Source organism: Homo sapiens, chromosome 12 (genome assembly GCF_000001405.40).
Source record: "Homo sapiens chromosome 12, GRCh38.p14 Primary Assembly".
NCBI classification, from domain to species: domain Eukaryota; kingdom Metazoa; phylum Chordata; class Mammalia; order Primates; family Hominidae; genus Homo; species Homo sapiens.
In genome coordinates, this window is record NC_000012.12 from 19,478,353 (window position 1) to 19,491,828 (window position 13,476).

General features: G+C 40.9%; 1 protein-coding gene across 7 annotated transcripts in view, besides 3 other annotated features; it reads left to right on the top strand.

Annotated features, from left to right (window-relative positions):
* The window catches only part of AEBP2 (AE binding protein 2), a 118,156-nt gene that overhangs the window by 74,281 nt on the left and 30,399 nt on the right, over nt 1-13,476 (top strand). The window lies entirely within an intron of this gene.
* Nucleotides 4,503-4,797: a silencer, noted in NCBI's record as "tiled region #4185; K562 Repressive DNase matched - State 5:Enh". NCBI's record gives its function as "represses a minimal TATA promoter and a strong SV40 promoter by Sharpr-MPRA in K562 cells {active_cell/tissue: K562}" and the evidence as "EXISTENCE:reporter gene assay evidence [ECO:0000049][PMID:27701403]".
* Nucleotides 4,503-5,012: a biological region, named in NCBI's record as "Sharpr-MPRA regulatory region 4185".
* Nucleotides 4,511-5,012: an enhancer, noted in NCBI's record as "H3K27ac-H3K4me1 hESC enhancer chr12:19635797-19636298 (GRCh37/hg19 assembly coordinates)". NCBI's record gives its function as "activates a minimal SCP1, AML or CMV promoter by ChIP-STARR-seq in primed H9 embryonic stem cells {active_cell/tissue: H9 hESC(primed)}" and the evidence as "EXISTENCE:reporter gene assay evidence [ECO:0000049][PMID:30033119]".

Below are 13,476 nucleotides of genomic sequence, written 5' to 3' on the forward strand. Positions count from 1 at the left end.
TGGCATGATCTCAGCTCACTGCAACCTCTGCTTCCTGGGTTCAAGTGAGTCTCCTGTCTCAGCCTCCCAAGTAAGCTGAGATTACAGGTGTGGGCCACCACACCCAGCTAAGTTTTGTATTTTTACAGGGTTTCACCATGTTGCCCAGGCTGGTCTCAAACTCCTGACCTCAGGTGATCCACCTGCCTAGGCCTCCTAAAGTGCTGGAATTATAGACGTCAACCACCTTGCCTGGCATTTGATGTAGGCATTTAATGCTATGAACTTTTCCTCTTAGCACCGCTTTTGCTGTTGCCCACTGGTTTTGATAAGTTGTGACACTATTATTGTTCAAATAATTTTTTAATTTCCACCTTGATTTCATTGTTGACTCAAGGATCATTCAGGAGCAGATTATTTAATTTCCATGTGTTTGTGTAGTTTTGAGGGTTCCTTTTGGAGTTAATTTCCAGTTTCATTCCACTGTGGTCTGATAGGATACTTGATATAATTTAGATTTTTTAAAAAATTTATAGAGACTTGTTTTGTGACCTATCATATGGTCTATCTTGGTCTATCCATGTCCTGATGAAAATAATGTATATCCTGGCCAGGCATGGTAGGTCTCGCACTTTGGGAGGCCGAAGCAGGTGGATTGCTTTAGCTCAGGAGTTTGAGACCAGCCTGGGCAACATGGCAAAACCTTGTCTCAACAAAAAATAAAAGAATTAGTTGAACATGGTGGTGCACACTTGTAGTCCTAGCTATGCGGGAGGCTGAAGTGGGAGGATTGCCTGAGCCTGGGAGGCAGAGATTGCCATGAGCCAAGATTGTGCCACTGCACTTTAACCAGGGTGACGGGCCTCAAAAAAAAGTATATTCTGCAGTTTTTGGTAGAATGTTCTGTAAATACTTGTTAAGTTAATTTGTTACAGGGTGTAGTTTAAATCCATTATTTCTTTGTTGACTTTCGGTCTTGATGACCTGTCTAATGCTGTCAGTGGAGTATTGAAGTCCCCCACTATTATTTGGAAAACTTACTTGAGGGGAATAACTGAGGAAAACTTCCCTGGCCTTGCTAGAGATGTAGATATCCAAATACAAGAAGCTCAAAGAACAGCTGAGAAATTCATCACAAAAAGATCATCACCTAGGCACACAGTCATCAGGTTATCTGAAGTCAGGATACAATTATTATTACATAATTATGTTGCTAGGATTATTATTATTTTACTGTGTTTATTGTGTTGCTGTCTATCCTATTTCTTAGGTTTAGTAATTATTTTATAAATTTGGGAGCTCCAGTTGGGTGCATATATATTTAGGATTGTTATTTTCCTGTTGGACTAATTCTTTTATTATTATTTAATGTCACCTCTTTGTGGGTTTTTTTTTTTTTTTTTTTTTTTTTTTTTTTACTATTGTTGCTTTAAAGTCTGTTATATTTGATATAATAATAGCTATGCCTGCTTGCTTTTGGTTTCTATTTGCATGGAGTATCTTTTTCCACCCCTTTACCTTAAGTTTATTTGAGTCCTTATGTGTTAGGTGAGTCTCTTGAAGACAGCAGATACTTGGTTGGTGGAATTTTATCCATTTTCCCATTCCATACCTTTTAAATGTAGCATTTAGGCCATTTACATTCGGTGTTAGTATTGAGATATGAAGTACTGTTGTATTCATCATGCTTGTTGTTGCCTTAATAGCTGTTTTTTTTTCTTCATTGTGTTATTGTTTTATAGGTCCTATGAGATTTATGCTTTAAGGAGATTCTTTTTGTCTTGTTTTTGTCATGGAGTCTCACTCTGTTGCCCAGGCTGGAGTGCAGTGGCACAATCTTGGCTCACTGCAACCTCAGCCTCTTGGGTTCAAGCAATTCTGCCTGCCTCACCCTCCCAAGTAGCTGGGATTATAGGTGCCCACCACCACGCCTGGCTAATTTTTGTATTTTTTACTAGAGACAGGGTTTCTCCATGTTGGCCAGGCTGGTCTTGAATTCCTGACCTCAGGTGATCTGCCCACCTCGGCCTCCCAGAGTGCTGGGATTACAGGCATGGGCCACTGCGCCCTGCCAAGGAGGTTCTATTTTGGTGTGTTTCGAGGTTTTATTTCAAGATTTAGAACTTCTTTTAGCATTTCTTGTAGTGCTGGCTTGGTAGTGACAAATTCTCTTAGCCTTTGTCTGAAAAAGACTTGATCTCTCCTTCATTTATGAAGCTTAGTTTTGCTGGATACAATATTCTTGGCTGATAATTATTGTTTCAGGCAGCAGAAGGTGGTACCCCAGTCTCTTCTGGCTTGTAAGGTTTCTGCTGAGAAGTCTGCTGTTAATCTGATAGGTTTTTCTTTATAGGTTATCTGATGCTTTTGTCCCACAACTCGTAATATTCTTTCCTGCATCTTGACTTTAGATAACCTGATGACTGTGTGCCTAGGTGATAATATTTTTGGGAGGAATTTCTCAGTTGTTCTTTGAGCTTCTTGTATTTGGGTGTCTACCTCTTTAGCAAGGCCAGGGAAGTTTTCCTCAGTTATTCACCTCGAGTAAGTTTTCCAAACTTGTAGATTTCTCTTCTTTCTCAGAAACACCAGTTATTCTTAGGTTTGGTTGTTTGATGTAATCCCACATTTCGTGGAGACTTTGTTAATTTTTTTTTAAGTGTCTTTTCTTTGTCTTTGTCTGATTGGGTTATTTCGAAAGCCTTGTCTTTGAGCTCTGAAATTCTTTCTTCTACTGTTATTGAAACTTTGCAGTGCATCCTTTTTTTTTTTTTTTTTTTTTTTTTTGAGACCGAGTCTCACTCTGTTGCCCAGGCTGGAGTGTAGTGATGCTATCTCCACTCACTTCAACCTCCGCCTTCCAGGTTCAAGTGATTCTCTTGCCTCATCCTCCCGAGTAACTGGGATTACAGGTGCCCACCACCACACCCAGCTAAGTTTTGTATTTTTTTAGTAGAGGCAGGGTTTCATCATGTTGGCCAGGCTCGTCTTGAACTGCTGACCTCAGGTGATCCACCCGCCTCTGCCTCCCAGAGTGCTGGGATTACAGGCATGAGCCACTGTGCCTGGCCTTCAGTGCGTTTTCTGTTTCTCTTAAGTGTGCCTTTTATTTCTAGAAGTTGTGATTGTTGTTTCTTTTCTTTTCTTTTTTTTTTTGTGAGGCAGAGTCTTGTTCTGTCACCCAGGCTGGAGCGCAGTGGTACAGTCTTGGTTTATTGCAACCTCCCACCTTCACCTCCTGGGTTCAAGTGATTCTCATGCCTCATCCTCCCGAGTAGCTGGGATTACAGGCACTTGCCAACATGCCTGGCTAAATTTTGTATTTTTAGTAGAGACGGGGTTTCACCGTGGTGGCAAGGCTGGCCTTGAACTCCTGAACTCATTTGATCTGCCTGCCTCAGCCTCCCACAGTGCTGGGATTACAGGCATGAGCCACGGTGCCCAGCCTCCAGTGCATTTTCTGTTTCTCTAAGTGTGACTTTTATTTCTAGAAGTTGTGATTGCTGTTTCTTTATGATATTTTTTCTCTGGAGAATTTTTCATCCGTATCCTGTATTGTTGTCTTTAATTTGGTTTTCACCTTTCTCTGATATCTCCTTGAGTATCTTAATAATCAACCTTCTGAATTCTTTATCTGGAAATTCAGAAATTTATTCTTGGTTTGGATACATTACTGGGGTTATAGAACCCTGTTTTGTCATATTACCAGAATTACTTTTCTGGTTCCTTCTCATTTGTTTAGACTATTTCGGTGGAAAAGACTGGATCTCAGGGCCTGCTGTCTCCCACTTCCTCTAGGGATGGGGCTTCCTGAGAGCTGGACTGCAGTGATTGTTATTGCTCTTCTGAGTGTAGCCATCCAGCAGCAGGGCTACTAGGCTCTGGGATGGTGCTGGGGAATGCCTACAAGGAGTCCTGTGATGTGATTCATCTTCAGGTCTCCGAGCTGTGGATACCAGCACCTGCTCTGCTGGAGGTGGCAGGGGAGTGAAGTGGACTCTTTGGTGGTGTTCGGTTGTAGATATGTTGAGTGTACTTGCTTTCTTGAATACTGGTTATGCTAGCAATGAACTTGTAATGTGGACACACTCAGGACCTCTGGTTGGCCAGGATGTCGCAGGCAGTGGAATTAGCTGTTGTTTTCCGCTTCCTGGGATCTGGGTTATTCTGTCATGAGTTGCTCTAATGGCCTGAATTGGTTGGCCTCCAACCAGGAGGTGACACTTTGAAGAGTGCACCAGTTGCAGTAGTAGTTAAGTAGGGAGATTGCTTGCCCTAAGTTGGCCTGGGCAAGTATTTTGGCTTCTGGCGAGATGGGTGGGGCTATGTTTCCTGTTCTGCTAAAGGGGCAGGTAGAGAAATACCATCAGGTGGGAGCAGGGTTAGGCGGAACTGGGCTCAGACTCACTTTCATTAGGCGGGGCTTGCCACAGCCACTGTGGGAGATAGGGCGTTGGTTTTCAGGCCAGTGGGGTTATGTTCCATAGGGGATTTTGGCTGCCTCTGCTGTGTCATATAGTTCACCAGGGAAGTGGGGGGTTGTGAGAGTCCTGGTTGCGAGAGACCTCATTCAGCTCCCATGCAGTGGGTGAAGCCACTCTCACTCCCTTGGTGTACTGCTCAGACCTTGCCCCAGGCTTCCCTGCTGAGAAAGCAAGGCCTTCAGACCTCGCCCCTCCCCGTCTGCCTACTCTGTCAGCAGCTCTGCGCTGGTATCTGCAGCAGTTCCTGTTCCCTCGCCACCTCCCTTTTCTGCTCAAGAAAATCCATGTCCAGCTGAAATTGTTACTATCTCATTTAGAAGCTTCTTTTGCCCTGTTACCCTTCCCTAATTCTACTGGCTGTCTTCTGCTAGTACCCTTGTGAGATATAGTCGGGGATGGCTTCCCTGGGCTCTAGCTAGAGGCTGGGAATGCTTACAAGGCATTTCCCACTGCTGCTTCTACTTTTATATTTTGCACGTTCCCTTAAATCTGTTTCAGCCCTAGGTAAGGTTAAATCCGTCTCGTCTCCCATGATCTGGATTTTCAGATTCCCCAGTGGGGTTGTGTGTGTGGAGGCAGGTTTTCTCTCTCTTACACTTTGGGAACTCACAGTTTTTTACCTGTCTCACGGAATTTGCAGCAGTGTACCGCTTCTTTGAAAGGATCTGTGAATTTTTTCGGTTTGCCTGGTATATTCCTGGGGTGGTTCTTGAAGCAAAAGTTCACGGTGCGAGTCTCCACATGGTGTTCTCTCTGCCAAAGTGGGAGCTGCATGTTAGCCCTTTCTCCTATCTCCATCTTCCTCCTCCCGATTGTACCTTGCTTTTTGAATATACTTTATGCTGGGATCTTTTCATATCAGTTCATAGTGAATAGTCTCATTTTTTCAGCTTCATCGCTTTCCATTGTGTAATATTAGCGGTTTAACCAAACTTTGTAGATACACTTGGGTTGCTTCTTGTCTTATTGTTACAAATAGTGCTATAGTGATGAATCCTGAATATGTATCATTTTGTACATGTATAATTATGTATGTAGGAAAAATCCCCTAAAATGATGTGAGTGGGTGGATCAAAGGTTAATGTAAACATTGCTAATTTTGATAACTTGCCAAATTGTCGTTCCCTAGAGCTAGTGCCGTCATCAGTAATGTTAGAGTGTCTGCCTAATGTTGGAGTGTCTCCAAGGCTTTGCTGAGAGAGGATTGTCAAACTTTTGGATTTTTGCTAATCTCATAGGTGAGACATTACATCTTTTTGTTTGTTTGTTTGTTTTTTGTTGGGATACAGAGTTTGGCTCTGTCGCCCAGGCTAGATGGAGTGCAGTGGCATGATGTGGGCTCACTGCAACATCCACCTCCTCAGTTCAATTGATTCTCATGCTTCAGCCTCTGGAGTAGCTGGGATTACAGGCAGGCACCACAACGCCCAGCCAATTTTTTTTTTTTTTTTTTTTTTTTTGGTATTTTTAGTAGAGATGGGGTTTCACTACATTGGCCAGGCTGGTCTTGGACTTCTGGTGATCCGCCTCCCCTTGGTCTCAGAGAAGTTACATCTTAATAGTTTATTTTTTTGAGACGGAGTCTTGCTGTGCTCTGTTGCCAGGCTGGAGTGCAGTGGTGTGATCTCGGTTCACTGCAACCTCCGCTTCCCATGTTCAAGTGATTCTCCTGCCTCAGCCTCCCGAGTAGCTGGGACTACAGGTACCCACCACCACGCCCAGCTAATTTTTGTATTTTTAGTAGAAACGGGGTTTCACCATGTTGGCCAGGATGGTCTCGATCTCTTGACCTCGTGATCCGCCCGCCTTGGCCTCACAAAGTGCTGGGATTACAGGTGTGAGCCACCGCGCCTGGCCCATCTTAATAGTTTTAATTAGTATTTCTTTCATTATGGGTTAGGTTGAACATCTTTTCATATGTCTAACCGTTCAGATTTTTTTTCTTAATTTTTTTTTTAAGTAAGTGGTCTCTGAAGAAAAAAATGAAGGAGGTAGTAAATGAATAAATGAATGAATAAGTAAATCAATGGTCTAATTAATTTTCTGGGGCACAGGTCCTATTACTTTAACACCCCAGTGTTTCCTGTAGTCATACTGCAGATCTTGGCCGTGACATTTGCTGGAAATGTGACTGCGAACTGCTTTTTTAACTTCCTGTCTAATGTGTAGTTGGTAGTACTAATTACATCATGAAGTTCTTGTTCAGTGTGTGCACACTAAATATAAGAGATTATTTATTAAAGTAAAAGAATCATTTAAATCATTTACATCTTCATTGTATTTCCATGTGTGTATGTGTGTGTAAGTATATTTTAAGGCAGCCTTTCTGCTGGTTGATGATGATGTATATGCAGGTTAATTTCAAAGCCTATACAAATGTTTTGTGTTTTTTGTTTTTTCCAAATCCTCTTCTAGAAACTGTAGACGTTTCCTATTGGAGAGGGGAAAGAAATTGTCTTTGAAAGAAAAAAAGTTAAGGTATATGATTTAGTGAGGTATTGTTCCATACATGAATCATAGGAATTATTTAAATCAACAAAACATTGATGTCTGAAGTACCTGGCACTATGCTGGGCAATATGGAAACGAGGTAATGAGAAAAACAGAGTAGGCCGGGTGTCCTGGCTCATGCTGTAATCCCAGCACTTTGGGAGGCTGACACAAGCAGATTGCTTAAGCCCAGGAGTTTGAGACCAGCCTGGGCAACATGACGAAACCCTGTCTGTACAAAAAAAATACAAAAATTAGCCGGGCGTGTTGGCATGTACCTGTAGACCCACCTACTCAGGAAGGTGAGGTGGAAGGATCACTTGAGTCTGGGTGTTTGGGGCTGCAGTGAGCTGAGACTGCACTCCAGCCTGGGTGACAGAGAGAGAGAGAGAGACCCTGTCTCAAAAAAAAAAAAAAAAGAAAAGCAGGCCTCTATACTCAGGGAACTTGTAGTCTCTGGGTTTATACAGATCTAAAGAAACTTAAATAATGAAATGTAAGTTCTTCAATAGTGACCTATGAGATTCTCTGGGTTAGGGATCAATTAAATTATAACAGGGGCTGGGAAAGGATAGTAGAAGATGAGTGGCAGGTGACTATAGAGAGAGGAAGTGATAAGGTGATGTTTGAGGTGAGCCTCTGCTTTTTTTTTTTTTTTTTTTTCATTTTGTTTGAAGGTCTGATATAATGTATAGTTGTGTCTAATGCACACTTGTTTAACAGTTTAATGATTTGTTTCTTATGTTCGTATGCACATTTGTAACTACCATCCTGATAGAGAATATTTCAGTAAGACAAGATTTCTAATGTCCTTTTCTGGTCTATCTCTTCTCCTGCCCTCCACCCATCTGCCCAGACTATATTCTAATTTCTTTCATACTTACTTTATGAACTCTTGTATGAACTCTTAGTTGTGTGAACTCTTGTATCTGGCTTTTTGTTCACTCAACAAAATATCAGCGAGATTTGTACGAATTGTATCAAGCAGTCATTTAAAAACATTGCTCTGTAGTATTCCACTGTACAGATAAATCCATTCACTTCCTTTTGGGCATTTGGATTGTTTCCAATCATTGGCTGCTATTTTTTTTTGTTTTGTTTTTTGAGACGGGGTCTCACTCTGTCACCAATGTTGGAGTACAGTGGCCTGATCTCTACGCACTGCAGCCTCAATCTCCCTGGCTCAGGTGTTACTCATACTACAGTCTCCCAAGTAGCTGGGATTCAGGCCTGTGCTACCACGTCCAGCTAATTTTTTGTAGAGAGAGGGTTTTGCCACGTTGCCCAGGCTGGTTTCGAACTCGCAGGCCCAAGCGATCCTCCCCCTGTGACCTCCCAAAATGCTGGCATTACGGGCATGAGGCACCATGCTCGACCATCTTTGGCTACTATTAACCAAGTTGCCCCATGGACATTCCTTTACATGTCCTCTAATTACACACACATATTCATTCCTCTTAACTATATGATATCTTAATACTACCAGTCCTTTCTTTTCTTTTCTTTTTTTTTTGAGATAAAGTTTCTGTAACCCAGGCTGGAGTGCAGTGGTGCGATCTCAAATGTAACCCCCACCTCCTGGCCTCCAACGATCTACCCGCCTCGGCCTTCCAAGGTGCTGGGATTACAGGCATCTACCGATCCTTTTAATTTTGGCCATTCTAGTGGATGAGTAGTGGTATCTCACTGTCGCTTTAATTTTTGTTTCAGCAATTTGCAATGATGTTGACCACATTTTGTGCTATGGGTATCTGAATATTCTATTTTGGGTGAAGTGCCTATTCAAGTCTTTGCCAATTGTGTTCATTGGGTGGTTTGTCTTTTATTATTGAGTTAATAGAAATTCTTCAGAAATTTTGAATATGTCTTGTGTTAGATATATGTATTATAAATAACCTTCTCCTAGTCTTCGGTTATCCTTCTCCCTGTTTCTAATGGAGTCTATTGTGTTATGGTGAAAAGGGGGATCATTTCAGGTATTTTTTTTTAAGTACATAATTTATATACATAAAATTCAACATTTTTAAGGTTACTGTAGTTCAGTGATTATTTAGTATATTCACAGTTTTGTAAAATTATTACCACTGTCTGGTTACAGAAAGTACGTATGCTTTTGAAAGAGAAAAAAGGGGCCAGGTGCAGTGGTTCACACCTGTAATCCCAGCACTTTGGGAGGCCAAGGCGGGTGGATCATTTGAGGTCAGGAGTTCGAGACCAGTCTGACCAACATGGTGAAACCCTGTCTTTTCTAAAAATACAAAAATTAGCCAAGTGTGGTGGCATGCACCTGTAATCTCAGGTACTTGGGAGGCTGAGGCAGGAGAATCCCTTGAAGCTGGGAGGCAGAGGTTGCAGTGAACCGAGGTCACGCCACTGCACTCGTCTGGGTGAGAGAGCGAGACCCCACCTTAAAAAACATAAAGAAAAAAAAAGAGTGAAAAAAGGGAGCATTTAAAAAAGTGAACTGTTTAGGGAAGAGCATGTAGTTTCATATATGTAAGCGATTATTGTAGCAATTTGAAAATATTTAAAAACAAATATTTCTGATTAGTGAGCTTTGATTATCTAGAAGTTAAATATTAATGCAATTGGTGAAAAAAGTTGAGATCTCATGTTTGTTTTGTGGTGCGCAAGATGAAGTAAGGGTCAGAAAGAATTATAGCAAAGACTCGATTGATGCATTGCAGAGCCTTGCACATTGCATATGTATATTATTATATTACATATTTTGACTAAATTAATTCTTACAATAATTCTTTGAGTTAATTACTGTTGTTGCCCTCATTTTTTACATAAGGAACTGAGGCAAGAACAGATTAAATTTTTTTTTTTTTTTGAGGCGTAGTTTTGTTCTGTTGCCCAGGCTAGAGTGCAGTGGTATAGTCTCAGCTCACTGCAACCTCTGGCTCCTGGGCTCAGGTGGTCCTCCCACCTCAGCCTCCAAAGTAGCTGGGACCACAGGCACATGCCTGGCTAATTTTTGTATTTTTTTTTTTTTTTTTTGTAGAGACAGGGTTTTGCCATGTTGGCTAGGCTGGTCTCGAGCTCCTGGGCTTAATCGATCCGCTCACCTCGGCCTCCCAAAGTGTTGGAATTACAGGCGTGAGTCATCGCTCCTATCCATATTAAATATTGTTTGTGGTCATGGTCAGTGGCAGATTCTGAATTTCAGAGGCAGAAAGAATCCGGGGTTGTTAATTATGTTACTCTGGTGTATTTGTCGAAACCAAGAAATCAACATTTCTTTTTGGAATTTTTCTTCCTTTAGATCGCCTCCTCATTATTTGTAAGACTGGTGCTTTCTGATTTGTGTTCTGATAGCCCCTTGTTGATCTTCAGAAGGACTTCTGGGAATATGAATAAGATGATCTTAGCACTTACAAAGACAGTCTTAGTATTGCTTCGTCCAAATAAATTTGTTCGGAAAAAGAAAAAACCAGTTCAGTAATTCTGTGTTTCAAATTTTAGAAAAGCTACTTGGCCACCAGCATATTTTTTTTTTGTTATTTGAGATGGACTCTTGCTCTGTCACCCAGAGCAATGGTGCGATCTTGGCTCACCACAACCTCCGCCTCCCAGGTTCAAGCTATTCTCCTGCTTCATCCTCCAAGTAGCTGGGATTACAGGCATCTGCTACCACGCCCGGCTAATTTTAGTATTTTTAGTAGAGGCGTGGTTTCACCAAGTTGGCCAGGCTGGTCTCAAACTCCTGACCTCAGGTGATCCACCTGCCTCGGCCTGCCAGAGTGCTGGGATTACAGGCGTGAGCCACCATGCCTGGCCAACATACATTAATATATAGGGTATTTCAGTGGGAGACCACATTTAAAACAGTCAATGTTTGTATTAGTCCGTTTTTCACACTGCTATAAAGATACTACCTGAGACTTAGTAATTTATAAACAAAAGAGGTTTAATTGACTCACAGTTCTGCATGGCTGGGGAAACCTCAGGAAAACTACAGTCATGGTGGAAGGTGAAGGGGAAGCAGTATCTCTTCTTCACAAGGTGGTGGCAGAGAGAGTGCAGGGGAACCTGCCATTTTTAAAAACCATCAGATCTTGTGAGAACTCCCACACTATGACAAGAACAGCATCGGGGAAACCGCCCCCGCCATGATCCAGTCACTTGGGAGGTTTCTCACCCAGTACATGGGGATTATAATTCAAGATGAGATTTGGATGGGGACACAGAGCCAAACCATATCAGTGTTCAACAACCAGCTTTCCCCTCATCATTGAAATCGGTTTCTTTTTCATCAGAACACCATGTGTAGTGGCTTGAGTTCAGTGATGATATATTTATGAGTGAAAATATAAAACATATTTGAAAACTAAAACCATACTCAGCAACATGAAATGCTCATGTAAAGAGGATGGTACTAGACTATTTGAAGCAACAGCAGATTTGTCTCTGCCTCATATTCTGTGTAGGATGTTGATTAGTTGATGCCTAAAATTATTTTTTCCTTTAGCAGAGAAGAGTTTGTATTTAAGTGAAATATGTGTGATTCTATTATATTTTTCTTTAATGTAAGCACTCTTTAGTTCTAAATTTTACTTCTGTTTTTTTTTAATGATTTTTGATTGATAAATGACCAAAATCAAAGATAAAACAATTTTCTGTTAGAATTCTCATTACTGGTTTCATTTCTAGAGACTGAATCATTGATAATTAAAATAAACTTTTTTTTTTTTTTTTTTTTTTTTTGCATGGGGGAGGTTAGAGATGGAGTCTCCCTTTTTTGCCCAGGCTAGTCTCAAACTCCTGGGCTCAAGTGATTTTCCCACCTTGGCCTCCCAGAATGTTGGAATTGTGCGTGCACTTGGACTAAAATAAACTCTTGATGGTAACATTACTCTCTGAGTTCTAGATGCTACTAGGGCCTATTCTTTGCTGTCTGGAAGGATGCTGGGACAAAATGACTCTTAAGACTTACAACATTTCTCAATTCAGACTAGCCAAGTTTCAAATGCTTAGAAGTTACCTATATCTAATAGATGTACGTATTGAATGGTACAAAACTAACCCATTAGGGTAATTAAACACTCTCAATTCAAGTATCAAGCAATTTTGAGTATCAGGTTTTTTATCGTGACTGAGTGTCACTCTGTTGCCCAGGCTGGAGTGCAGTGGCATGATCTTGGCTCACTGCTCTGCATCCCAGGCTGAAGTGATTCTTGTGCCTCAGCTTCCTGAGTGGCTGGGTTACAGGCTTGTGCCACCATGCCCGGCTAATTTTTTTTTCTTTTTGAGACAGAGTCTCACTTCTGCCCAGGCTGGAGTGCAGTGGCATGATCTCAGCTCACTGCAACCTCCCTGGCTAATTTTTGTATTTTTATTAGAGACAGGGTTTCACTGTGTTGGCCAGGCTGGTCTCAAACTCCTGGCTTCAAGTGATCCACCCACCTCAACCTCCCAAAGTATTGGGATTACAGGCATGAGCCACTGTGCTCGGCTCAGGTTTTAAATTAAAAGTTAAATTGGCCATTATGGAAATGCAGTTGAAAACCACAAGATACCACTTCACACTCACTAGGATGATTTTAATAAAAAAATGGAAATAGTGTTGGCGAGAATGTGGAGCTAGCTGGTGATTATACAACATTGTGAATACACTAAATTCCACTGAATTGTACACTTTCAAATGGTTAATTTTGTGATGTGAATTTCACTTTAATGAATAATATTAATTTAAATGAAATAAAGTTAAAAATTCATTTACTCAGTTACAATAACCATATTTAAAGTGTTGAGTAGCAATATTTGGCTAGTGGTTCGTAGGTTTGCAGTGACCTTGGCAGTGGACCAGGTAGTTCTGTGGCAACGTGGTACTCTACAGAAGAGATGGCAGCTTTAAAAAGCGTTATTATTTCTTGGTACTCAAAATATGTGTGGTAAAATTTTAAATTTTAAATATAGAAATCATTAAATGCTGACTTCTCATGGTCAGAGTCTGTAGGTGAAAATTCTTGATGCAGCCTATTTGAGGACCATGCCATTCTTAGGGTTGTTGTATGAATTAAATACTAATTTCAGAGCAATGAATATGGCTAATTGCCTCTATTCAGGGTTTCCCATAGCCCTGTGCTTTAGTTAGGCCTTACTGTACTCCTTTGAAGTTATACTGCTTTATATGTATGTTTTGCGGAACATATAGAAGCTCTTTTAGTGTAGTATCTATATCTTATTCATCTTTATCCTTCTAGCATATTATGTAATACTGGACATAGATAAGTATTTGAACTAAAGTCTTGAATCATTTCTACCTCTTTTTTAACTTAGTGTGCACCATAGAGTAAGTAAACATTTTTCATAGAGACGCTGAGGGCCATAAGGAGCCCCCAAAATATATTTTGTATGTCAAAATAGAGTAATTATTAATGGATACCATATAAGAAGAATGTGTGATTTTTTTTTTTATCAGCATCAGTAAACATATAACTGTTCTGCTAATATACTTAGTAATATCTATGATTTGCAAGATGCTTCTGGGAATATAAATATTCATAAATATACATCT